This window comes from Homo sapiens, chromosome 7 (assembly GCF_000001405.40).
Source record: "Homo sapiens chromosome 7, GRCh38.p14 Primary Assembly".
Taxonomy (NCBI): Eukaryota; Metazoa; Chordata; class Mammalia; order Primates; family Hominidae; genus Homo; species Homo sapiens.
In genome coordinates, this window is record NC_000007.14 from 88204422 (window position 1) to 88230254 (window position 25833).

The 25833-nt window shown below is 39.3% G+C and overlaps 1 protein-coding gene and 2 long non-coding RNA genes across 6 annotated transcripts, besides 3 other annotated features; 1 reads left to right on the plus strand and 2 right to left on the minus strand.

Annotated features, from left to right (window-relative positions):
* Positions 694-22555, minus strand: SRI (sorcin). 4 transcript variants are annotated; one of them, NM_198901.2, is made up of 8 exons: positions 22488-22555; positions 14438-14521; positions 12701-12770; positions 6461-6504; positions 5562-5709; positions 4918-5031; positions 4086-4144; positions 694-2083 (listed from the first exon to the last, which is right to left on the minus strand). In NM_198901.2, exons 1-8 carry the CDS (start codon positions 22491-22493, stop codon positions 2057-2059), a joined length of 552 nt encoding a protein of 183 aa, NP_944490.1. In that variant the 5' UTR covers positions 22494-22555; the 3' UTR covers positions 694-2056. The 4 variants fall into 4 exon arrangements, with proteins under 4 accessions (NP_944490.1, NP_003121.1, NP_001243821.1 ...); NM_003130.4 differs by lacking the exon at positions 22488-22555 and adding an exon at positions 15555-15617; NM_001256892.2 differs by lacking the exon at positions 694-2083 and having other exon boundaries at positions 3774-4144.
* On the minus strand, positions 10155-12163 carry LOC124901691 (uncharacterized). Its single transcript, XR_007060419.1, has 2 exons — positions 12022-12163; positions 10155-10515 (listed from the first exon to the last, which is right to left on the minus strand). It is a non-coding gene; the product is annotated as an uncharacterized LOC124901691 (long non-coding RNA).
* On the plus strand, positions 12239-25347 carry SRI-AS1 (SRI antisense RNA 1). The gene is made up of 3 exons (NR_120517.1): positions 12239-12336; positions 14328-14803; positions 25335-25347. It is a non-coding gene; the product is annotated as an SRI antisense RNA 1 (long non-coding RNA).
* Positions 14603-14692: a silencer, noted in NCBI's record as "silent region_18355". NCBI's record gives its function as "represses an Ori minimal core promoter by ATAC-STARR-seq in GM12878 lymphoblastoid cells {active_cell/tissue: GM12878}" and the evidence as "EXISTENCE:reporter gene assay evidence [ECO:0000049][PMID:35858748]".
* Positions 15340-15839: a silencer, noted in NCBI's record as "silent region_18356". NCBI's record gives its function as "represses an Ori minimal core promoter by ATAC-STARR-seq in GM12878 lymphoblastoid cells {active_cell/tissue: GM12878}" and the evidence as "EXISTENCE:reporter gene assay evidence [ECO:0000049][PMID:35858748]".
* Positions 22553-22847: an enhancer, noted in NCBI's record as "tiled region #10982; HepG2 Activating DNase matched - State 8:EnhW". NCBI's record gives its function as "activates a minimal TATA promoter and a strong SV40 promoter by Sharpr-MPRA in HepG2 cells {active_cell/tissue: HepG2}" and the evidence as "EXISTENCE:reporter gene assay evidence [ECO:0000049][PMID:27701403]".

Genomic DNA, 25833 nt, shown 5'->3' on the forward strand with positions numbered 1-25833 from the left:
TGAGATCTGATGGCTTTATAAGCATCTGGCACTTCCCTGCTTGCATTTCCATCTCCTGCTGCCTTGTGAAGAAGGTGCCTGCTTCCCCTCCCGCCATAATTATAAGTAAGTTTCCTGAGGCCTCCCCAGCCATGTGGAACTGTGAGTCAAACCTCTTTCCTTCGTAAATTACCCAGTCTTGGGTAATGTCTTTAGCAGTGTGCGAACAAACTAATATAATGTCAGAGGGATGCTTTTGTATTCACCCCAAAGCCAATTCAGAACCACAACTGATGCAGCACACCTTGGGACTTGTTCAAATATGGCCCATATCCTTCAGCAAGGGCCTTCTCTACTGCTTATCCTCAACCAGGAAATTACCATTTCCTTAAACTATGATTTCCTCAGAGGACCCTGGTGAGTTGAAACCAAACAGCAGGTGCTAGGACACTGAAGGTGAGCTCCCTGCCTCCTAATCCTCTGAGCCCCTTTTTGGCCCTTTTCTAGATAGCCCAGACTCAAGCAGAGCTTTATGGCCTCACAGACAATATACGGAGATGATGCAATCTATAGTCACTGTGTAATATATAGCAGGCTGCTTCACATTCTGATATGTAACCTGGGCTAACTAACTTGCCATAGTTATATGTTAGGTTTGAATAATATATATTTTAACAATATTTTAAAAAATTAATAGTGAAATGAGGCTAAAGATGCTTAGAGAAAATGTTTTATTTTCATTAGTTGACAACTAGTTGTTCAGTTGAATGGTAAGTTTCACACTGCATCCTAAAATAAGACAGATACTCTGCTGGCAAGTAGAAAATAGACTAATTTCATTTTTTATCTGTTAAGCTCTCTTGATAAAAAAGGCAAACCAGGCCAGTTTTAAATTTAAGAAACAGAAACATTGTCAGTGCTTCTTGTATCAACACACTTCATATTCAGAACTACTCCCAAGAGATAACATATTATCTCCTTTTCAAAGATGGGGAAACTGAAACTGGGCATTATCTATAATGACCAAACCACATAGTAAGAGGCACAAGCCAGCATTAGAATTCAGATCTTACTTGAAAGTGTACAGCTTAAAATTTTTTAAAAAATTCCTTCCATTATAAATGTAGTACCTGCTTACTGGAGAATGTTTGGAAAAGCAGTAAGAAGGAAGAAGATGAACTCATGATCCTGACTCCCAGTGGTAGCCAGATCAATGTTTTGGTACATACTTTCCGATACTCTGCTATGTGTATTTTTTAAAGTGTGAATACATGGTATATCAAAATGGATGTATCAGTATTTTAAAAACTAAAATCTGATTTTAAAAGGAAAGCATATAGAAAATCTGAAAAATACTGATATAAAGAAAATTAAAGTCATCTAGAATTCCATTCATCCAAAATAAACATTGTTAATATTTCCATATATTCCCTTAGTCTTTTTCTATCAATTTTCTTTTTATATAGTTAAGCTTATAATGTACAAGATTTTTAAGGAGAGTTAACAAAGGTTTAAATAGATGACAAAAAGGGACTTGGTGACAGATAGTATTTGCCAATCAAATTATTCAACAGGTTTTGAAGGGCGTGTGCTAAACTTCTAAGGTGAATCCTGACGTGGATTACTGGATTACCTTTTTTGTTGTTTTATTTCACCCAAGTGCGTCTATGTCATTTACCTAAGTTTTTATGTGTGGAGTATTCTTTGTAGGAGAGGAAAGATAACAGCTGTAGTCTGATTAACAGTTTTTAGTGTCTCACAATGAAAAATAAATAATGTGACTTAAACATTTTGCATACTTAAATTTACATAGAGTTTTAGCAAGAAAATAAGGCATGACTGATAATGGCTCAGGAAAGTTCTAAATGGTGTAACAGACTAGATCTTATTAAAGTTCCAAAGAATTTATTATCAAAACTAAAACAAAACTTCAGTTGTACATAAAGTAATAAACTTTACAACAGCTGTTAAGAGAAAGTCGTGATGTAAGTTTATACATATTACCGAAGGCAAAGAGGACAAGCAAAGGAGAGCTCCAGTTGGAATGTTGATTACATTCATGCAGCTTCCTCTTGATTTAAACACTCATGACACATTGAATGAACTGAAAGAAAAATCAGCATTATATGACAGACCTCAAAGCACTTATACGGCACAGCCTATTTCTGGCAGCTTACATTTGGTTTTCTAATTTGAACACGGGTAAAACAACCCCTACAACTTTCTAAGATATGAGTAAATGATAGATGGAAAAGTTTCCTTTTTTTAGGGAAGCAGTCTAATATAAAATCCACAGGGTTTCTCACATCAAAACTTCTTAGAGAAAGCAGATATAACTTCAATGGATAAATAATTTAAATAATTATTTGAATAATTATTTAAATTCCAAATAATATCCAAGACTAGAAATGGCCGTGGTCAAAGACACTTACCACAAACACAAACAACTGGAGTTTATACTGTTGTATTACGTGGGGATTTCCAAACCACACAGTATTACCCCATTACTCTAATGGAACACCTTAAACAGTTTATTGCCTTAAAATCTGCTTTATTAAAACAAATTGTAGCATGCAAGTGTATGTATGCACAGAAACAGAACAGCTAACCCTTCAGATACCTGAGATTAGAAATACCAGTATTTGCTGTGAAATGTTGGCTTCCCCGCTAAACATAAAGCAATAGATTCTGCTCTATCAGTGTTCCCTACACTACTAAGGTATTGTGCACTGCTAACCCTTGCAGCTCTATTGCAAGGTCAAGGTGATTATCCCTATTTTAGAGAAAAGGAAAATAAGGATCAGGATGTTTAGAAATCTTTTAAGTAGCCCCATCTGAAGTCAAAGCCCATGGTCTTTCTTTCCATTCCCCAGGCAGCCTTCTGATCTTTAGAAACAGCAAGGGGACTGTCAACTAAGAAGTTAACGCATGTTAAAGAGAACACACCCTTAAGCAGGTAAAATAAGCATATTCACACACACATACTAAGCTTTTAAAAGTGTACTTATAACTGCAGCAGCTGCTAAACCAAAAATACATGCATCTTATATTTTGTAATGGAGAATGGAATATTCAGTGATTACAGTCATTTCAATTCTACAAGTTTTTTTGTTTGTTTGTTTTTTGTTTTTAAATCAATGGCTGAGCAAAAACTGAAGAAACAAGTAACCAATCTCTCTAGCTTTGTTATATACATCCAGCTAATGCCATCAAAGATGGCACTAGGTTATGTTCACACTGATTACATGGCCTTACCCTACCCTTGTTTAGTTTGGCTGTTTAGTAAATAACTTGTTTTAAATTGTGATTTAGCCGGGAGCAGTGGCTCACGCCTGTAATCCCAGCACTTTGGGAGGCCTAAGCGGACAGATCACAAGGACAGGAGATCGAGACCATCCTGGCTAACACAGTGAAACCCCGTCTCTACTAAAAATACAAAAAAACTTAACCAGGTATGGTGGCACATGCCTATAGTCCCTCAGGAGGCTGAGGCAGGAGAATCGCTAGAACCCGAGACGTGGAGGTTGCAGTGAGCTGACATTGCGCCACTGCACTCCAACCTGGGCAACAGAGCGAGACTCCATCTCAAAAAAAAAAAAAAAATTGTGATTTAAGTTGTTGCCTGCCTTATGCCCTCAATGAAGAACATAGGTATGCAAAACTATTGAGCTGTTATCTATTCTCAGTGACTGACATGATTTGTTTACAGAAGACAAAAGCAGATAGTATATCTGCATAGTGTTTTTCAAGGGCATTTCTAATAGAAATCTTACAATGGCTCAGTGAAAAAGGCATTACTACTATATCTTCTTTATTCATATAGTGTCACAGCAATTAAGAAACCTGCTTAAGTGACCCAGCTAATAAATACAACAAGCTGGGTCTTGAACCCAGGTCTCTGAATGCAAATCAAATCATGGTCTCACTATAGTTAAGACTAATAAATGAAATTAATAAATTCTGGATGATAACTCTTTCTAACTTTTGAATCCCTTATGTCTCTGGCATCCTTAACCTTAAGATATTCTTAACAGCTAATTTCAAAGGGATACCCATCTGGTGTACATCCTTTTCATCTACTGTATCTCTTAATTTCTAAGACTTACATCATCATATGGGAAATTCACAACACCTTGCTGAGCAGTATCCCGTCTTCGAAAGCTGTCTGTAAAACAACACAGTAAAATTTATGGTTTTTCTTTAAATGGTTTTTCTAAAATCATAAAAGTTAGTTATTTTGGCATTGAATTCACATTGCAGTAACATTTAAATTGTGCAACCAATTAACATAAACAAAAGACCAAAGCAAAGAAGCCAACTATATGAATAGTAAAAGATTTAATATGCAACAAAGTAACAGGCAGAAGTTGGCCAGCTGTGTTTTTTGTTTTTTTGTTTTTTTAGATCTGGAGAAAATACCTTACCCAAAGTCAGTAAAAGCTGTGCAACTTCCATGGCCATTACTTCATTGTGATAAAAGCACCGAATTTCTAGCTTCTTAATAACAAAGATACTGCTTAAGAAACAGATAAAGAGTCCCCAATATAACAAATGGGCTGTAATCAGTTTCTCTACCATTTCAGCTCTGCCCTATAGAAAAGGATTTTATTTTAATTTCACTCTTTCCAAATATTTCACATTCTGGGGAAAAATTCATTATTATCTGATCAAAAATGCACAAGTTAGCTGATTGTGTTTTAGAACATTTTAGTAAAATTTAATTGTTTATTTTAATGGCAGATTACTTACTAATCTAAAATAAATTCTGGAAAAAAAACCAAAAAATTATTTTGCCAGATATGCTTAATAGTAATCTGAAAAAAACTACTAAAGCAAGAAAAAATTTGGGAAGAATAAAAGTTGAGAAGCACTGAGAGATGAAATGTAATAAAAACTGTGTCTTGGCTTGTGGTGATGACACGACCTTATAGAACTCACCTGTAAGAGCCCTCAGTTTGACGCAGCAGGCGATGTAGTCGTCGAAGGTGATCTTTCCATTGGTGCTGTATCGTTTTGCAATTGAATTCACAGCCTGGGGACTCAACCTAAATCCTAAAAGAAAAGCCATCCAGTAAAAAGGTTAAAGGATTGCAGAAGCTCATTAAAAAATAAAATAATCAAGCACTATTTTATTTTTTAAGACTGCAGACTCATATTAATTATGAACACACACAATTTCTAAGAAAACAGAAACTGCCTTCAGGTAGCAATTATTTATTTATTTATTTATTTACGAGAGGGAGTCTCACTCTCGCCCAGGCTGGAGTGCAGTGGTGTGATCTCGGCTCACAGCAACCTCTGCCTCCTGTGTTCAAGTGATTCTCCTGTCTTAGCCTCCCGAGTAGCTGGGACTGCAGGTGCATGCCACCACGCCCAGCTAATGTTTCTGTATTTTAGTAGAGTCGGGGTTTTACTGTGTTGCCCAGGCTGGTCTCGAACTCCCGAGCTCAGGCAATCCACCCTCCTTGGCCTCCCAAAGTGCTGGGATTACAGGTGTGAGCCACTGCACCCAGCCTGGTTTTAAAAATAAAAATCAACTTACTTCTACCAATGAATGGAGAGTTCTAGTAAGCCATACCTACCCATTGTTGTCAGGGCCTTCTGCAATTCTTGTGGGTCTACTGTTCCACTCCTGTCAGTGTCAAAACTGATAAAGTGTTGTCTCCAGCCATTCAGTACAGCCCAGAGTTCTTTAAATTCATTGAAACCCATTGTGCCAGACATATCTCTCTGAACTGTAATCAAGGATTAGAGCTGTATTTTGCGATATTTTCTAAGGATTAAATGAAAGATCAAGGATAAGGGGAATTCAATATTCAATGGCTAAAAAAGTTATTGTAGATTATTCTTGGTATGATGTAAAATTAATGATTTAAAAATAGAAAGGGGCTATGGAGAAAAAGCTCAAGTGCCAATTTTTACTGTGGGGAAAAGATAACTTACATGACTTGATTATAAGGAAATAGCGTTGCCATTGTGAACCACTTATAAAAAGCGGTCTTGTTACTGGAACTAGGCTGTACTTTGTGGGTGCTTCAGGCTATGCTGTTTGCCCTTCTGTCCTAGCATCATCTCTGGTACTAATATTCCCTTGTTTAGTGCCCCCAGACAAATGAGGTGGGATGGAATGCACTGGATAGTCAGCACTACCTAAACTCAGTCCAACAAGTGGGATGTGAAAAATCCCATCACTTGCAGAGGAATCAATGTTAAAGAAAAAAAGCTGTCCTGACACTCTGGACTCTGTACTTGTTCTATAATACTCTGATGTTTCCTTAAATTCCTGAACAACATTCTGTTTACTAAATTTCTTTTCTTCCTTTATTCACACCAAATTCCACCCTATAATAGAAGCTAATTATTTCAGAAAGCTTTTTAGTGATCATTTATTACTTTGTGTTTACTAGATATTAATTCTAAGATGAATTCCTTTAGAATTTTAGAAAAAATTATTCTAGACAACAATCAAAGTAAAGGATACATCCAGCATTGAAACCATAAGCCGGCAAGTCTCCAGGTTAAAAGCTGTTAAATCAAGAAAAGTACATACATATTAACACAAATCCAAAAATTCACATTACACTGGATACATTCAAATTAATTAGAAATATGATTATTATACACTTTTATTTTTATATGCTATCAATTTACGTGTGACTAATCATATGGAACTTCAAAGTAGCCTTTTCTCCATAAAGAAGATTTTTTGCTAGGAACCCAAATTTGATTTAAATAACTTTGACAGAATTCCTTTTAAAAAGTATTACATAGTCCGGGTATGGTGGCTCACGCCTGTAATCCCAGCACTTTGGGGGGTGCCGAGACAGGCGGATCACCTGAGGTCAGGAGTTTGAGACCAGCCTGGCCAACATGGCAAAAACTCGTCTCTACTAAAAATATAAAAATTAGCCAGGCCTGGTGGCACACACCTGTAATCTCAGCTACTCAGAAGGTTGAGGCAGGAGAATTGCTTGCACCTGGGAGGAGGCGGTTACAGTGAGCTGAGATCATGCCACTGCACTCCAGCCTGGGTGACAGGGCAAGACTCCATCTCAAAAAAAAAAAAGTATTACATAGTACTGTTCATACTTTCTTGCTTTGAAACTGTAATATAGCGAGTTCAAGTCACCATAACGAACCATAATGTATTATATCCAACATGGTGGGTGGGAAGTCAGGGTTGCTTTGTTCCTACTCATAAATGACTATAAATTGCTGGTTTTGCTAATTTTGTGTCTGATTACTTGTTTTTCTATTTTCCCTTCAATGTCAGGTACTGAGCAGTAACCTCCTACCTCAAATAGTCTATGACCTCTTAGCTTATATATGAAACCAGATAAATATGGTTGTTAGAATTATGTGTTAAATAAGAGTACTCTAGATAAGACCCCATGACCAATTCAGTGGTGGCCACTATTCAGAAGCCTTTTTAATTTACCTACAGTTTAGGAGTATTATGAGGGCATTTTGGTACCTCACTTATGTAACCAAACCAGAGCACATGCAATGGGTGTGGTTACTGGTAACCTAAGCATTAGGAAATTAAAAACCACCTCTTACATTGAATTAATGGGAATCAATGACTGAAGAAATTGTATAGGTACAAAGAAGCTACAACGCTAAATGGCAGAAGTGACAAGGGTCACGTGGGAAAAGCTGGTATAAATTCTGCAAGCTTGTTAACACACAGAACATTTTTAACAGCTCTTTGTAGCTTCATATTTTTTCTCAAACCAAACTGAAATTAAAACACAACTGCGCTCATTACTGTAATGTCTCCCAACAGTGCAAACTATAGGTTTTACACATTTAATAGATTCCTGTGTTTGGCATATGCTTTACTGGAAATAAAAGACTAGTGACTATTTCTATTTTGGTCCTTCAATCTCCATTTGATCCACAGATAATATTCTCTGAGGTGAGAGGAGGAGGAAGCACTTTTTACAGTTTGGGAAAGAGCTGGTAGATTCTTCATTCTGACTTTTAAGTTGTGTGGAGGTATGAAGTCCCTCTAATCTGGAGCTGTAGTTCTCCACACTTGTGCTTATCTGAATCAAAGCTTTAAAAGATTCTGATACCTGGGCTGCACCATAGAACAATTAAATCAGGAACTCTGAGTGTGGGACCCAGGTATTTGTATTTTTAAAAAGCTTTTCAGATGATTCTAGTGAGCAGCCAAGGTTGAGACCACCATTCTACTCAAAGTGTGATTCCTGGACCAGCCATATTAGCATCACCCAGGAGCTTGAAGAACTGCAGAATCTCAGCCCTTACCCTACACCAATAAAATCAGAAGCTGAATTTTAGCAGATGTGCAGGTGATAGATATTCATGTTAAAGAAGCTGGTTCAACCTGAACCAGCATCACATGGAAACCTGTTAGAGGTGAAATTCTCAGGACTCACTCCAGACCTCTGAATGAGAAACTCTAGGGCATGACCCAGCAATCTGGTTTTTGTAAGCTTTCCAGGTGATGCCAATGCTGCTAAAGTTTAAGAACTGCTCTGGACGGCCTGACAACCACAGCGCAGAGCCAACTGTGTTGGGCTCACATGAAGGTATTGAAGGGGCTATGAGGCAGACAGCTTCTCTGTCTCTGTTAATGAATGGCACCCCCATCCACTCAGCAGTAACCCAAGCCAGAAACCTGGGAGCCTCCTCAATTCCCTCTCCACCAATAATCAATCACCTTCTAAACAGCTGTAGAGTCCATTTCCAGCCCCACTGTCTCCTTAGTTAGCATTTCTCTCACCTGTATGACTCCAGCAGCTCCCTAATGGGCATCCCTGACTCTTGTTTTACTTCCATGTCCCCCAATTTATTAGTCTTTACAGTCAGGGGTAGTATGTGCTCTCCTATGCAAAACCCAGTATCAGTGATCTACTGCTCTCAGGATAAAGTCCAAGCACCTTAACTGGTACATAAGGTAACACACTTATTTTGCAAGTCAGGCTCATCTCTTACTCTTGTTCAACCCCGTACACTATCTTCATGGAGAATTTCTCAATTTCTTGACTGAACCACGCTATTTCTGGGTCTTCTGCACATGCTGTTCTAACAACCTAGGACACAACTTCCCCATCCCACTCACTTCATGGTCGGCCTCATTTCTGCTCAGCTTAGGTATCAATTCTGCAAGGAAAACTTTCCTGACTCCTGTCTGGGTTATGTGCCCATTCTATGTGATTCCACAGCCTCTCTCTTATCCCAGTGCTTTTCCCAACACCCAGGCATTGATTGTGGCTACAGAGCCAGCACCTAGCTCATAGGAAGTATTCACTAAAAATGCACTGGTATGGATGGATGGCACCAAATTCTCACCCCCACGCAGGAAGCTGTAGAGCCCTGCACTTTATATGTACAACCCTCTTAGATCGTCTAAGAAGGAATGTTTTTTGAATAAAATTTTCTAATCTTTACTAATGCTCAAAAATTAATGTATAATCTTAAATCAAAAAGCCAATAAGGCTACAGGGCTATAATTTTTCTGACACAGAAAATTTTCCATATTCATTAACTCAACAGCCACTGTTAAGTACTTATTATGTTCAGGGCTCAGGGTAACAGGAACTTTGCAGATACAGTTGTGAAACTGCATACCGTCCTAGCTGACAGTCTAAGGAAAAGATAAGTCACATACACATATAACCCTAATCATGGTAGAGTGCTGAATTATAATGGAGGGGCCAGAAAGTACCAGAAGGGATTGAGAAGTGAGAAGCTCCTTCCCAGTAAGAGAATCAAGAAAGACTTTATAGAAGACAAAGAATTTAAGCCAAGCCTTGAATGACAAGAATGATGGGGGCATTTGGTGACAGCTAAGGACCAGCATAAGCAAAGAGAGAAGTAGAAGGCCTAGGACAGGCAAAGCGTAAGTGAATAGCTCAATATGACTTTCAAAGAGTACAAAAGGAGTGGGAGAAAATATGTTTGGTCAGGGGAGGGTGCATTACAGAGGACCTTGAATTCCTTCTAAGCTGTTAGTAAAGACTGAGGAGGAGAGGGACAGATCAGGAAGATCAGGAATCTGGTCATCTTTTGTGAGAAGGATCTGAAAGGGCAGTGAGATGGCAGTGAACAAAAGTGAATGAACAAAAAATACACCATTCTAGACAGTTCCAATGAACTAGAACGCTGATGTCCAATAAGTTTTGGTAAGGAAAACTCTTTCTCAATTTTGTTAATAATATAGCTTTTATTAGTGTTAATTCTATTTTAAATAATTATTTAAAATTAATTAAAATTATAAGTATTATATATTAGTTACGTAAATGTAACTACATATAATTATAACTATAAATTATAATTAAAATTATTAATTCAACATTTTGAAATTATTTAAATTAAATAATGTTAATTTTAATAATTTCCAAAGAATCTCTGCTGTAATTTACCTTTACTCTTTTTCTTCTCTTCTGTTCATTCTACTAGAATGCCTCAAACATCTTTTCTTCTCACAGAAACATACAATATAATGGACCTAGAAGGAAAGCCCTACCTCCAGCTGTTTCTCTCAACCTTATCACAGACGAACAACTAAATTCAGGGAAAAAAGAGAAGCTGAATTACAATCTTACTGACTGGAACACAACTTCTCTCACCAACTCCACCTCTAGGTATGACTGCTTCCTTTTAAACTGGTTAAGAAGGGCCCATAGGCTCTGAGCTGGAGTATCCCACCTGCTCATCCAATTCGGACCTGTGCTTTTTGGTTTGGAAGTTGGGTTTAAAAGACTAATGGCCATATAATATCTGCATTACAAAACACTGACACCTCATAGGCAGGATGGTTCTGTGGTTCAGTACGGCCACCAGAGAGTAGGCAAATGGATTCAATCACATAGGCCCCATGATTCAGGAAATGCTTTCTCTTTAATGCATTGATCTAAGGCCATCACTAAATGTGGCTTTCTCAATGAAATTTTAAAAGGACTGCTCTCTAACAATATACAACCCATTTTGTTAGTCAGATTCTAAAATCTGCCACACCTCATCTACTGAAAGGATGTAGAATAACAGGCCATGCTGTGATCTCACTGCACTTTGATAAACCCTGCTAATAGGCAGGCCTACCTTGTTTACCAGCTCAATTGCGTAACAATTAACAATTTAAATGTACTGCCTACACAGTAAAGAATAACATCCCCTAATCCAAAAAGTGCTTATTTTGTTTAGGACTAGATTAAATAACAGGAACTTGAAAGGTTCTTCGTTTGTATTAATTCCTCTAATTAGGAAAGAGTAATAGGATACTAAAGTCACATAAAACAAAGGATAATGAAAACAAATGCAAAGAGTTCAAAGACAGCCATCTAATACATGCCATGTCAAATAGTTTTTAAAAAAAGGCCACTATAAATTCACAGCTGTGAATTCTAGTTTGAACATTTTAATCCACAGCTAACCATGAAATTGGGTCTTCAATTTGATGTTTTGTCTCAATTAACAACTGGCAAAGAAGTTGGTAATGTATTTGAACTAAGACATTATTCTCTACCCTGGAAATCTATCATGTTCAAGATCTAATTTCAAGAGGAACCACTTCATATGTGTTGGATGATGAGAAGCCCCCAGTTGGGATGCAGCAATTTTTTGGATTTTCTGAGACAGGCTGTCACCCAGGCTGGAGTGCAGTGGCACAATCTTGGCTCACTGCAACCTCCGCCTCCTGGGCTTGTATAATCCTCCCACCTCAGCCTCCTGAGTAGCTGGGACCACAGGTGCATGCCACCATGCCTGGCTAATTTTTAAATTTTTTGCAGAGACAAGGTTTCACTATGTTGCCCAGGCTAGTCTTGAACTCCCGGGCTCAAGCAATCCTCCCACCTCAGTCTCCTAAAGTGCTGGGATTACAGGTGTGAGCCACTGTGCCCTGCCAGGGATGGAGCATCTTTGCAGTATTTCATTACTCTCAGCTCATGGCAGAGTGTTCAAAAGGCAGGGGTAGGGTAAGGGCTGAATTATGGAGCAGCAGGTCCAGTAAGTAGAAAGGCCACTTCCCACTTAGCCTGAATACATTCTATGAAGTGGAAGAGGAAAGACCTGAGGGATGTCATGGCAACCACTTATGTTAGCAGGAGCATGCCCAAAGCTCAGAGACCAGGAGTGCAGGATAGGCCACTCAGGGACCAGGGGTGCAGGGCAGCAACTCAAAGCCCTAAGTGCCACCAGGTCAGGGCAGAGTAGGCTCTTGGCAAATAACAGTAAATATCAGTTCCTAATGTCAGTTAATGACCCCTGACCTGGCAGATTCCATTTCAGCACCCTACCTTGTCCTCTGTGAAGGAGGCCACCCAAACTGTCTCACTGGTTCTAGGTACACAAAACCCAAATCTGAGAAATCCACTAGATTGGCAGGTAGGATGGAATAATTTATTATTATTATTATTTTAAAGACAAGGTCTTGCTCTGTTGCTCAGGCTGGAGTGCAGTGGTACAATCATAGATTACTGCAGCCAAAAACTCTTGGCTTCAAGCGATCCTCCTGCCTGGGCCTCTGAAGTACTGGGATTACAGGTGTGAGCCACTGTGCCCAGCCTGGAGTGATTTAAAAACTGTTTTCAAATCAACATTTTGAAATAGTACTGTATTTTAGCTTTCGGAATTCTAAACTTTGCTAGATCCGACAAGCTCAGTTTTCTTGAAGGCTGTAATCACAAGTAACAGCTAAGATAGGAAACACAAGAGTATATTTAGACAAACTTTGGGACTGTCAACTTACGTTTGTATCCTCCAGCAATGCCAGACTGTGTCAGACATCTCTGCAATTCATCAGCATCTATCTGCCCATCCTTTTGAAAAAAAATTAGAGGAATCATAATAGTGATTTGTACTTTCAAGTTGTTTACCTTCAGCATTCAATGAAGCAATAACAACAAAGAAAATCAGTATCTTTTTTTTATTTAAAAGGAATGCCTTTTTTTTATTAAAAGGAATGCCTTCCAAAAGTGGGCATTCTTTTCCTTAACCCACTTCCAAAAGTAATTTAATGATGAAAGAAAGAGTCTGTCTTGGCAACTACTCTTCTCTCAATCTGAGCTAGCAAACTGCTACAGCTAAACATTTTAAAATATTTTTTTTTGATGGGGGTGGAGAGAGCAAGGTACAAAGCAGACATCAATAAATAGAAGGCTTGGTTCAAACAGAAAAAGGCCTCCTTGGTCACTTTTTCTTATGATATAGTGAATCATTTTTTTCAGAGCACAAATACATCTGGAAGATTCACATTAGGTTCCCAGTGCCCATTCACTGGCTGAACTGGGAAAGAACTAGATATATGTGATTTTTAGGGACTTTAAAATAAAATACCTAAATCTTCAAGTCACTGGGTATTATAAGTTATAAATGAGGAGCAAGATCAGCAATTTGAAAGACAATGGGTATGCTGAATACAGGCCAGGGCTGCTGAAAGCTAAGCAGGTGGAGTCACTTACATGCTGGAGGCACTGGCAATCTAAGAATGCTAGTCTTGAGGTTTGCCATGCCTTGTGGTTTCAAAGATACAGATCATTAACAGTTTAAGTAGATACTTAAGGGGAAGGTCTTCCAGTTTTAGACTATATTTTCCATTCAATTTCTTAAGCTGTATTTCTTAGAGTACTACCTTAAAAGTGGTCTTAGGTTTTTTATCCCATAATATTCTACAGTTTTCACATTAAGATTTTGCTATTTCTAGCTTTTGGTCAAAACAAAACTAGGTTGAATTCATAAGAACAAACATCTCCTCTGGACGTGTCTGGGTTATACCAACAGTATATTTACTGCACACAGTGACCTCATGAACTAGGGAAGTGTCCTCTCTCAATGTAAGATAGCACCTGTCAATGTAAGATAGCACCTGTCATACAACTCAGAATGCAGACAAGTGAAAGGTCTTGGGGAGCTGACCTTAATTGCTTCTCTGGGTCAACAGGCCAGAACACCTAATAAGGACATGGAGGGGCTGACCTAGTAACAGCATCTGCATCAAAGAGAAACTACACTGTTCACAAGATTAACTTTCTGATACTAAGAAGGGAACAGTAACTTCCTTATTTAGAAGCTGGTGGGTTTTTACCATATTTCCTAAGGGGGTGAATGATTAGCAATCAAGTTCAACCCAAAGAAAGTGCCCATTAGAATCGAGCTATGTAATTACTAATATATGTCTTTAAGTTGTACAAACAAGCGTTTATATTTACCAGATCTTGAATTTTTTCGCTTGAAACCATCCTGGACCCTTTAATTCAACCACAAGTTTGCTTTCGAACTGAACTCACATAAATACGAGTAACACTTTGTCCTCATTTATTCTGAACATTCAGAAATAAAAAACTAAAATAAGAAACAACTTTTTTTTTCTTTTGCAGAAGCAAAGGGACTCAGTACCACAGGAAGTTCGCTTTTCTGTGTCACTATATCAAAAGCTACCACAAATGCAGACAATAACGGCTCTTTAATATTAAAGGGAAAAGCTAACCTGTCCAGCTACAGCAGCAAAGTAACCATACAGCGGATCCTGAGTTTGTCCGGGAAACGCAGGCCCTCCGGGAGCCCCTCCATACTGTGAAACAGGAAACACATACACGTCATTCTGCCGAATCAAGTTTTCTTCTTTCACCACTGAGGGCTTTTGTGCAAGGCCAGACAACTGCCCGCCTGCCCGCCCTTCACAAGGCTCACCTCCCCACCACCGGGCACACTCTGCCAACACTCCACCCCTCTCTTCCATTCACACCCCGTAATTTAAAAACTGGCGACTTAGACCATAAAGAGTTGCTGTGAAAGTGATGTCTACATATGTAAAGCAACTTTTAAAATCCCTATTAACCTGAAGGTTACTGAGGTGAGTGCAAACTAGGTAAGCCAACGAATGGCAGGGCTTCAAATTCTCCTTTTGTTGTTACAGCATTTATGGTATTTTAAGAGCGTTTTATGAACGATGGAAGGCTGGAGTTGGTAACATTCTGAGACGGGTGTAGCCTAGGGAAGAGTAAGGTGTCCGGCCGGGCTGTATCTCGTGGGTGGCGAGGGAACATTGCCTGTCTCGGAAACAGTTCCCAAGACAACGCGCATCCCAGACGCCCGGCGAGGCTGCCTTCCTACAGGTCTTTTACTTCAGCAGGTTTTCCCTTTTTTTCCGTCCCCCTTCTCACTCGTTTTTTGTTTGTTTGTTTGTTTGTTTGTTTGTTTGTTTTTTAAAGGGAGGAAGGTATATCATTCTAGAATAAAATGACTGTTGTTGCTCTGGGAGGCAACCAAGAAGGCGGGGGTGGGGTGGGGTGGGGGTCAGCCAACACCCAATTAACACGATTTCACGCCGCGTATCCGAGAAGCCGCAGGGTGGGCTTCTAGGGTCCCAATCCACCCTCACCTTGGCCCCGCAGGGCCATCCAGGAGAAGGGACGGGGAAACGTGGGGAGAGGCCGAACCCCAGGGGCCTAGGGCGAGGCCGCGAGCGCAGGGAGAAGCCGAGGGCGGAAGGAGCCCGGGTAGCCGCCCAGCAGCGCCTCACCCCGCTGGCCGCAGCATCTCCAAGGTGGCCTCTTAGCGCCCCGGAGCCGCCTGGGCCGCGATCCCGCGCAGTCAGCACTTACCCCGCCTGGGTAGTACCCGCCGCCGGCGCCAGGATGCCCCGGGTACGCCATGCTGCAGACTGCGCCGCAGCCGCCCTCGCCCTGTGCGCCAGGCCTCTCCGCCCCCTGCCCCGCCCCGCCCTGCCGCTAGGGGGCCGCCCCAGAGCGCACCACGCGGGCGTGGGGGACGCGCTCCGCAGTCGTCTCCAGCTCTTGCCTGTGCGCGCGGCCGTGGCTCCCCTGCCTGCGCGCTTCTTCGTATCTTTGCCATTACGGCGCTAATGCAGTGCACGACTGAAGGTCCAGTGGCGGCCTACGACCTGCGAGGCAATTCACACCAGGGACTTTCCTCCCTCCAAAACTAATGGCACATTCCAACACCAATACACCACCCCAGGAATTCTTTTTTTTTTTTTTTCCTTCGGACTTGGCTATTATCTGGCACATTTCTTATTTTAAACAACTTTATTGGACAGGACGGAGCTATTATAAGCGGAGCGCACCATCGCGAGGCAGGGGCTGGATGCGTTAGGGCAAGCCTTAGGTGCCAGTGGGTGAAGGAGTCTTTGAAAGATGGAAATACGAAAGCGCCCTTGGAAAATAAGAATTAACTTGACGAACTGTGTGCAAGGGAGAGTTTGGCTTGCTGTTGGTTGCAGAGTTCACTGAACGACAACGGCGTATTTCCTTCCTAGGGGACAATTCCTTGCCTGTTTAAGCTGAGCGTGACTTGTGTCCTGAGTAGGACAGAGGGCATTTTCCGGGCAGGACAGACTCACACATATCGTTCTTAGGAAAATGAATTGTTTGAATTATCTGGATGATTCAGACAAAACAATCCATTTCCCTAAAAGTATTCAGCTACTTTTTATATAAGAAAAGTTTAGAACAAACTAATAGTGTACTGGTAAGTATTCAGGAAGATAAGAGATAGGAACTTCTATGTAGGTTATTCTTCTTTACTTCATATATTTTTCTATCTTCCAGTTGAATAGTCCGAAGCAATTCAGGCGTGAGCTTTTTGTTTTGTTTTGTGTAATTTCAATGACAGAAAATTGCTTGCCCTTCACTGTTAAGGACTAGACTTAATGATTTCCTGAATTTTAACGTATTGAGAAACGCATTAATAAGCAAGATTCACAGTATTTGTTGTGGAGGTTGCACAGAAACATTTAAAGGGTCATCAACATTTCACAAATATTGGAGCACCCGCCAATGTGGTACTGTGCTTTTTCGCTGTGGTGGACGGGCTTCCTCCATTCTAAATTCGTGGGCTATTGTCCTCATTCGGTTCATTGTTTTTCTCTTGTGTGTAACTTCCCTCGCAAGCCCTTTTGAAAACCAAAGTCCGAATTGTGAGAAAAATTCTAATAGTCCCTGTTGTGGCATAGCAAAGACACTGCATGTTGCCTGTTTTGTGTTTGATTCAGGAAGCAGGTTACTGTTTTCAATCATCAAGGTAGCAATCATCAAGGTAGATGAGACATCTAATGAGTCCCCTGGTCTCTCTTTGGAAGCCTGTTTCTTCAGAAAGAGGTAACCGACTATAAAGAGTAGATGTCAGGGCCGAACTCGATGTTGAGTACAAGCTCAAGACTCAAGTTTGAAAGAAGTATAAAGCATATAAAATATTTTTAAGTACTGCAGAATTAGCTTCGTGGATAAACGGCTATACGAATTGGCATATCAGTTGTCCTTAGACATCTTCCCACTGCTTTACTGCTAAAGAATTGAATTTTTTTTTTAATTACACTTTAAGTTTTAGGGTACATGTGAACATTGTGCAGGTTGGTTACATATGTATACATGTGCCATGCTGGTGCGCTGCACCCACTAACTCGTCATCTAGCATTAGGTATATCTCCCAATGCTATCCCTCTCCCCTCCCCCCACCCCACCACAGTCCCTAGAGTGTGATATTCCCCTTCCTGTGTCCATGTGATCTCATCGTTCAGTTCCCACCTATGAGTGAGAATATGCGGTGTTTGGTTTTTTGGTCTTGCGATAGTTTACTGAGAATGATGATTTCCAATTTCATCCATGTCCCTACAAAGGACATGAACTCATCATTTTTTATGGCTGCATAGTATTCCATGGTGTATATGTGCCACATTTTCTTAATCCAGTCTATCATTGTTGGACATTTGGGTTGGTTCCAAGTCTTTGCTATTGTGAATAATGCCGCAATAAACATACGTGTGCATGTGTCTTTATAGCAGCATGATTTATAGTCCTTTGGGTATATACCCAGTAATGGGATGGCGGGTCAAATGGTAATTCTAGTTCTAGATCCCTGAGGAATCGCCACACTGACTTCCACAATGGTTGAACTAGTTTACAGTCCCACCAACAGTGTAAAAGTGTTCCTATTTCTCCACATCCTCTCCAGCACCTGTTGTTTCCTGACTTTTTAATGATTGCCATTCTAACTGGTGTGAGATGGTATCTCATAGTGGTTTTGATTTGCATTTCTCTGATGGCCAGTGATGATGAGCATTTTTTCATGTGTTTTTTGGCTGCATAAATGTCTTCTTTTGAGAAGTGTCTGTTCATGTCCTTCGCCCACTTTTTGATGGGGTTGTTTGTTTTTTTCTTGTAAATTTGTTTGAGTTCACTGTAGATTCTGGATATTAGCCCTCAAACTATACTACAAGGCTACAGTAACCAAAACAGCATGGTACTGGTACCAAAACAGAGATATAGATCAATGGAACAGAACAAAGCCCTCAGAAATAACGCCGCATACCTACAACTATCTGATCTTTGACAAACCTGACAAAAAGAAGAAATGGGGAAAGGATTCCCTATTTAATAAATGGTGCTGGGAAAACAGGCTAGCCATATGTAGGAAGCTAAAACTGGATCCCTTCCTTACACCTTATACAAAAATCAATTCAAGATGGATTAAAGATTTAAACGTTAGACCTAAAACCATAAAAACCCTAGAAGAAAACCTAGGCATTACCATTCAGGACATAGGCATGGGCAAGGACTTCATGTCCAAAACACCAAAAGCAATGGCAACAAAAGACAAAATTGACAAATGGGATCTAATTAAACTAAAGAGCTTCTGCACAGCAAAAGAAACTACCATCAGAGTGAACAGGCAACCTACAAAATGGGAGAAAATTTTCGCTACCTACTCATCTGACAAAGAATTGAATTTTAATGGAGTGTTGCAAATTCAATTCTTACAATTATTGCTAACAAATTGGTCAGCTGCTAATACTTTAGTTTGCTGGAAAAAATTGTGGCAACTTATAATACCATCAGACATATATATAATAATAAAAATATGCCAGATCCTCATCGCATTTTACTTATTTGCTTAATCTTAATAAAAACCCATGGGATAGGTACTATTGTCATTCCTATTATACAGTTTTGAGGAAGGGGAAGGAACAGAACAGAGCTGAGCTATGCTGCCAAGCCATCTGACTCTAGAGTCTGTGCTCTACACCCAGGGGCAGGTAAAGGGCCAGGTAGTAAATATTTTAGGCCTGTGGGCCATACAGTCTCTGTATGAGAGAGTCTACATACATAGTGGTATGTAGACTATGTAGTCATAGTGGTATGGCCAAATACCACTCAACTCTGCTGTGTAGGCCACAAGTATCCATAGACAATAGATAAATGAATGGATGTCGCTGGGTTCCAATGCAACTTTATTTATAGACACTGAAATTTGAATTTCATATGACATGAAATATTATGCTTAATTTTATTTTTCCAACCATTTAAAAATGTAAATATTATTCTGAGCTCTTGGATGTACAGAAATAGGAGGTGGGTCAGATTTGGCCTTTGGGCAGTAGTTTACCAACCACTGCTGGAAGCCCCTCCAGAATGCGGGCTTATGACTCTGGCAGTTTAGCACTTTAGCAAATGATTTGCTGACTGTAAGATAAAGCCTATGGGTAGAATACAGTTATTTGTCAGAACGATTTACTAAGTCCTAAAAAAAAGACTGTAGGAGGGTTGTGACAACAGCATGGGTTAGGGAGAGAACTATGTGAGGTTTATAGATAGGATGCAGGTCATGGTTATTTTGGGAAGTCATTGGAATTACAGAAACCTTTCTGATCATATACTCCAATCCTGCTGTTTACAGAAGAAAAGACCAAGGCTGAGAGATGGCAAATATCTGGCCCCAGCTCTTGAAGAGCAGACCTAGCCAGATGTAGATATTTCACCCTTCCCAATTAAAGCTGTGACAGTAGATAAACATGCTCTCAGAGAGAATCCCATTCTTTTGTGGTACACCTTCCCTAATTATGTTTTCAAGACAAACGGCAGTGTGGACACTTTCTTATTCCTGGAGAAAAGTTAATATAAAGCTCTACATATAGTATCCAACCTGGACTTCTTCGCTCAGATAAGTGGTGAAAGAAATAGTGTCTAACTAAGTAACTGTAGTTATTTCACCATACCTGCAGTTGAATTAACCATAGGTCTTCACTTGTTAGGAAGAAATGAGCAATGACATTTGCCAATTTAAAGTTTCAATTTTTGTTTAGTTCTGATCTGGGTGTGGCACCTCATGATTTAAAGACCTCTGCCTTAGAGAGAAGCTCAGATCTCCAAATGTAAGTGGAAATGAGCATTTGATAACAACATAGGTAACCAATTAATAGTATCTCCACTTTCTTAAGATTGTTGGGAAAGAGTGTGAAGCCTATGATGTTCATTTGGGAATAAAAGCCACCCTTTTTCTTGAACTGTCCGGAGTAAGAGCTCAGTTAATCATGCTATTATGTAATTTTTTCAAGGGATAGAAAACTTCCACTATTGATGTTTTAGTGCTTGCATGTAGAGTTTAACTGGTCCCTGGCATATTGTAGATGGTAATGAATCATCAACCACAGCTCTTCAAACAACTTCTGCTACAATAGAAATGTTTGATAACTATGCCACACAATAACTAATCACATATGGCTATTGAGCCTGTGAAATGAGGAACTAAAATTTTAATTTAGTTTAATTTAAAATGGAATAGCTGTGTGGCTAGTGCTACCCTCTTGAACAGCACAGGGACCCTTTCATCTGTGTTGGCTTCCTCCTCCCTGGAACTCAGAGAAAGCAAACTCATTCTACTTGCCTGGAATAGGCATGATAAGCAAGATAAATCAGTTATTAACAAAACACAGCAAGGGCAGTCATCAGCTCTGTGACAAACGTTCCCATGTTCCTGTTCCTACAGAATAGATTCTCACTGACCTGTTCCTTCCCTTAATGAAGCTCTGAGCTGGAGTTGATGATCAGGATTAACCAGGAAGCTGATGTTGGAGGAATTTATTATGGCTAAATATATATGCCTATATACATATATGTGTATGTATGTATATCATTGTACATATGTAAATATATGTGTGTATTTTTACAAACACACACACACTTTATATATATACTTTCTTATCATTAGGGCTGTCAAAAATGACCTTCCAAAGATGAGTTCCCCATCACTAGAAGTGATCAAGAAGAGGCTGTCAGTGATGCTAAAGGGCAGTTTTGTACTTTGAGTAGGGGCCTGGATGAGTTAATGCTCTATGGACTACAAAGTATTTTCTGATGGCCTACTTAAACTTTACCCAGCCATGCCAGTTAGATTATTTCTACTTTACAAGATGAGGAAACTGAGACTCTGACTTGCTGAAGGTTACCAGACTAATAGCAATTCCAGTATTAATTGCTTATCTTGTCACTTCAGATCTTTTCTCAACCTCACGCTATTCTCTCAGGACTCTTCCTTTTAAGATTATGCAATTTCTATTGGATCAAGAATTTGGAGACATTGTTTTTTCTTTTCCTGAACAGAATGTGTTTCAGAAATCAGAATATTAAATTTAAAGCAATTGTCTAAAATAATGTACATCTAGGTAATGCTATTACTATCAATGATAAGAGTTCATTTTAGTGCAGATAATTATTTTTTGATGAACAAGATGTAAATATGCATGGCTAAAGGGGTAGCTAAAGGGAGGTCAAGAAATGAATGCAAGAACTGGCTGTAATTAGTTTTTGTCTGAGGCTTGTACTGATTATCAAGTCTCTACATCTTTTACTTGTGACCATTACCATGTCTGGGACCACATAGAAAGCAGAATATTGAATACTGGACCTGTATGCTCAGGTAGAAAATCACCTGTGTTCAGCACCAGTGTTCTCTTAGGATGACTCTTCCTAAGAACATTGGACTAGTATATTATGGGGGTGTTAATTCTAAAAGCTAATTTTTGCAACCTAGGTCTATTTTTTCATAAAGGTCACTTTATGACTGGTTCTCAGGCAAGCCCTCGAAAGTTCTTTAAAGCCTTCATTGTTCTCCTAAAGAGAAGCAGTCCTGGAGCCGGGGTAGAGCAGGGTAGGAACCCAAGAGCACCTAGGGCTTGGTTATTGCCCATCCCCATTCGCATCTCAGTCCCTTTATCCAGCCAATCTTGATGTCGCAAAGTTTACACAGAACCAGAGATAAATAGAGAAGCCAGACTTGTGGAGAGAGGAGGGGAAGATAATACAATCTCCATCTGTTCAATAAGCTGGGAGAGGAGGGAATTTGGGAAGAAAAATTCCCAATTATTCATATTGCAGCTCTGGGGAAGGAAGAATGACTGTTCTTGAGTCCTAGGTGCCTAGGTACAGTAGATATTTCCAGAATGCCAAAATTCCATGAAGCATATATATAAGTCAGCTACATGTAAATTGGGAGCTTCTTAATTAAAATAAGATATCTCTTACTTTATATAATTATTTTTCAGTAGTTACTTGCCTCTTTTCCATAGCTGGGAAATCAGTGGCAAAGCTGAGAAAGGAACCTGGATTAATTGATTCTCAGCTTGGAAACCCATGGATCAGTAGAACTACAAAGATTAGGAACTTTCTTATTCCTGATTAGTAGAATTAGAACATTGGAGCTGCATGGAATAGTCTAATATTATATACATATCATTTACTTGCCTGCATCTTGAGTTGAAGTCTTATAGGTAGAAGCTGGTGATCCTTAGAGGATTGCCTTCTTGCAGAGTGGCCAAATAGAAGAATCAAGAAGTATAAACTGTAATAGCAGATGAATCACATTGCCCTCTTGACCTCTGGAAATCAGTAACCAACTATAAACATTACTCAACAGTGTAGGCAGATTTCCAATTAGCCCTATAGAGGCCCTCTATGAAATATGTTTATTTCATTGTTACAAAGAATGACCTATCTAAGGCAGCTAGGAACCAATAACAACAGTATTAAACACACATACAGGTAAATATTTGACATTCCTTCAGGATTATTATCTCTGTCTGAGAATTCTGAAGACCTGCAGGGCTTTGTGTTGGAACAGTCATATGTGGGAGCTGGCTCATACTGGCCAGTGAGCCTATTTTCAGGCATTTTTCCAGCCTTTTTTTTTTTTTTTTTGAGAGAGTCTCGCCCTGTCTCCTAGGCTGGAGTGCAGTGGCGCAATCTCAGCTCACTGCGACCTCTGCCTCCCCAGTTCAGGCAATTCTCTGCCTCAGCCTCCTGAATAGCCGGGATTGCAGGCACTTCCCACCACGCCCAGCTAATTTTCGTGTTTTTAGTAGAGACAGGGTTTCACCATCTTGGCCAGGCTGGTCTTGAACTCCTGACCTCATGATCCACCCACCTCGGCCTCCCAAAGTGCTGGGATTACAGGCGTGAGCCACGGTGCCTGGCCTTTTCCAGCCTATTTTTAAACACTGCCAATCGTATAATTAGAAATTTTTTAACTTACTGAAAATCAAGATAATAAATACTCCAAATGCATCAATTTTTAATGATTTTTCTATATGGGTAGTATGTAATTTTGTGCTGTTGGATGTTAATTCTCAATTCCAGACTCAGTCATACCATGTTAGTAGTTTGAATTTGCGAAAAGTTAGTAGTTTATTCCACTATGTTGGGAATATTTACACCCTGGAAATCAGTTTGCACTACAAACAAAAGACTCATTTATTTTTATTTATTTATTTATTTTTTTTTTAATTGTGTACTCTAGATTTGGAGGTGGCATTTTGGAGAATATGTTAATAAGGTTTAAAGTTAAAAGTGTGTTGTGGCCGGGCACGGTGGCTCACACCTGTAATCCCAGCACTTTGGGAAGCCGAGACGGGCGAATCACGAGGTCAGGAGATCAAGACCATCCTGGCTAACACGGTGAAATCCCATCTCTACTAAAAATACAAAAAATTAGCTGGGCATGGTGGCGGGCGCCTGTAGTCCCAGCTACTTGGGAGGCTGAGGCAGGAGAATGGCATGAACCCGGGAGGCGGAGGTTGCAGTGAGCCAAGATTGCACCACTGCACTCCAGCCCGGGCGGCAGAGCAAGACTCCATCTCAAAAAAAAAAATTTTAAAAAGTGTGTTGTATCTACAGCCTTTACATTGTGAATTGCATGAACAGTTAAGGAAATATTTTCCCAGAAATATGACATCTACAAAGAAACACACTAATTATCCAGCAACAGATTTCAATGAGAAAGAAATTTATAAAAATCCTTGAAAAATAATTCAAAATAATGATACTAGAGAAGTTCAGTGAGACATAAGAAGACCCAAATAAACAATATAATGAAATCAGGGAAATAATTAGGGACATGAGTGAAAAGTTTACCAAAGAGAGATATCATGGTAACCAAACAGAAATCCTGGATTTTATTTTATTGAATGAAGTAAAAAGTACATTCAAGAGCTTCAACAATGGATTATATCAAGCAGAAAAAAGACCTTCAGAACTTGAAAACAGATCTTTTGAAATAATCCAGTCAGACAAAAATAAAGAAAAAAATAAAAAGAATGAACAGAGCATAAGGGACACCATAAAGTGATCAAATATTCAAGTTTTCAGTGTTCCAGAAGGTGAAGAGAGGACCAAAGGAATAGAAAACCTATTTAATGAAATAATAGCTGAAAACTTCCCAAGTCTAGCAACAGATTTAGATATCCAGATACAAAAAGTTCAGAAATCCCCAAATAGATACAATTCAAGAGAATCTTCTTCATGACATGTTATAGTCAAACTTTCAGCAAAGGAAACAATCAACAGAGTAATGAGACAACTTGTTGAATGGGAGAAAATATTTACAAAAATTATTCATCCAACATGGGACTAATATCCAGAATATACAAGGAACTCAAACTATTCAACAAGAAAAAAACAAATAATCTCATTAAAAAGTAGGCAAAAGACATGAATAGACACTTCTCGAAAGAAGACATACAAATGGCCAAATGGGTATAGTTTAAAATGCTCAACATCACTAATCATCAGGGAAATGTAAATTAGTGGAGTTCTCACGAATGGACTAGTGCCCCAGAGAGCAGCCTTGTCCTTTCATCATATGAGGACACAGCTAGAAGATGCCATCTATGAACCAGAAAGCGGGTCTTCACCAGACACTGAATCTGCCTTGATCTTGGATTCTGCAGCTTTCAGACTTTGAGAAATAAATTTCTGTTGTGTATAAGCCACCTGGTTTATGACATTTTATTATAGCAGCCTGAACTAAGACAACACCCTTTATGTCAGTTAAATTTACAATTACCTTACGTACATATATACGTACATATAAGGTCCCACCCTGCCCCATCTTGGAAAGCTACTTGTTAAACATTTACCAGCACACCACTAAAGGGCAAGAAAGTGTCATTTGAACTCAGTGACTTAGGGAAATATATCTTGGCTTCAGGCTGTGGATAGAGATTTTCAAGCACATCTAGGAAGTATTTCAAAAGGTAATTTAGGAAAAATTTCAAAAGATAATCTTTAGGCCCTTCACATGCTCCTATCTTCCAGGTTCTGGAAGCAGCTATCGCAAGTGCTTAAATGTTCCTCCTGTGACTCTGTGACTGTCCAAAGTCCCTGTTTCCAGTTCAGCTTTCTTTGAAAAGCCCTTGAGCTTTAATATCACCATCATGCCTCATTAAAACTCCTATTCACTGGGTGCAGAAGACTGCTTATTACTGAAAGTAATTTGACTAAAACATAAATACTGCAAAATGTAAGTATATTTTAATTTCATTATATATTCTTTGTCCATACTATTTTTATGGCTGCAGAGTATTCAATCATATGAGCCTTTTACACTTTAGTTAATCAATACCAAATTATTTAGATTTTAACTAAATTTTTATTATTACACACAATGCTGAAATAAAAAGATCATAGTTTAAATTTTGCTCACATCTTGAATTGCTTTCTTGGACATATTCTTAAAACTAGATTTACTGTTTTTGAGATTAAGGTTTTTGAGAAATTCTGGATAGCTATTGCAAATCGCCTCCCAGGAAGTTAG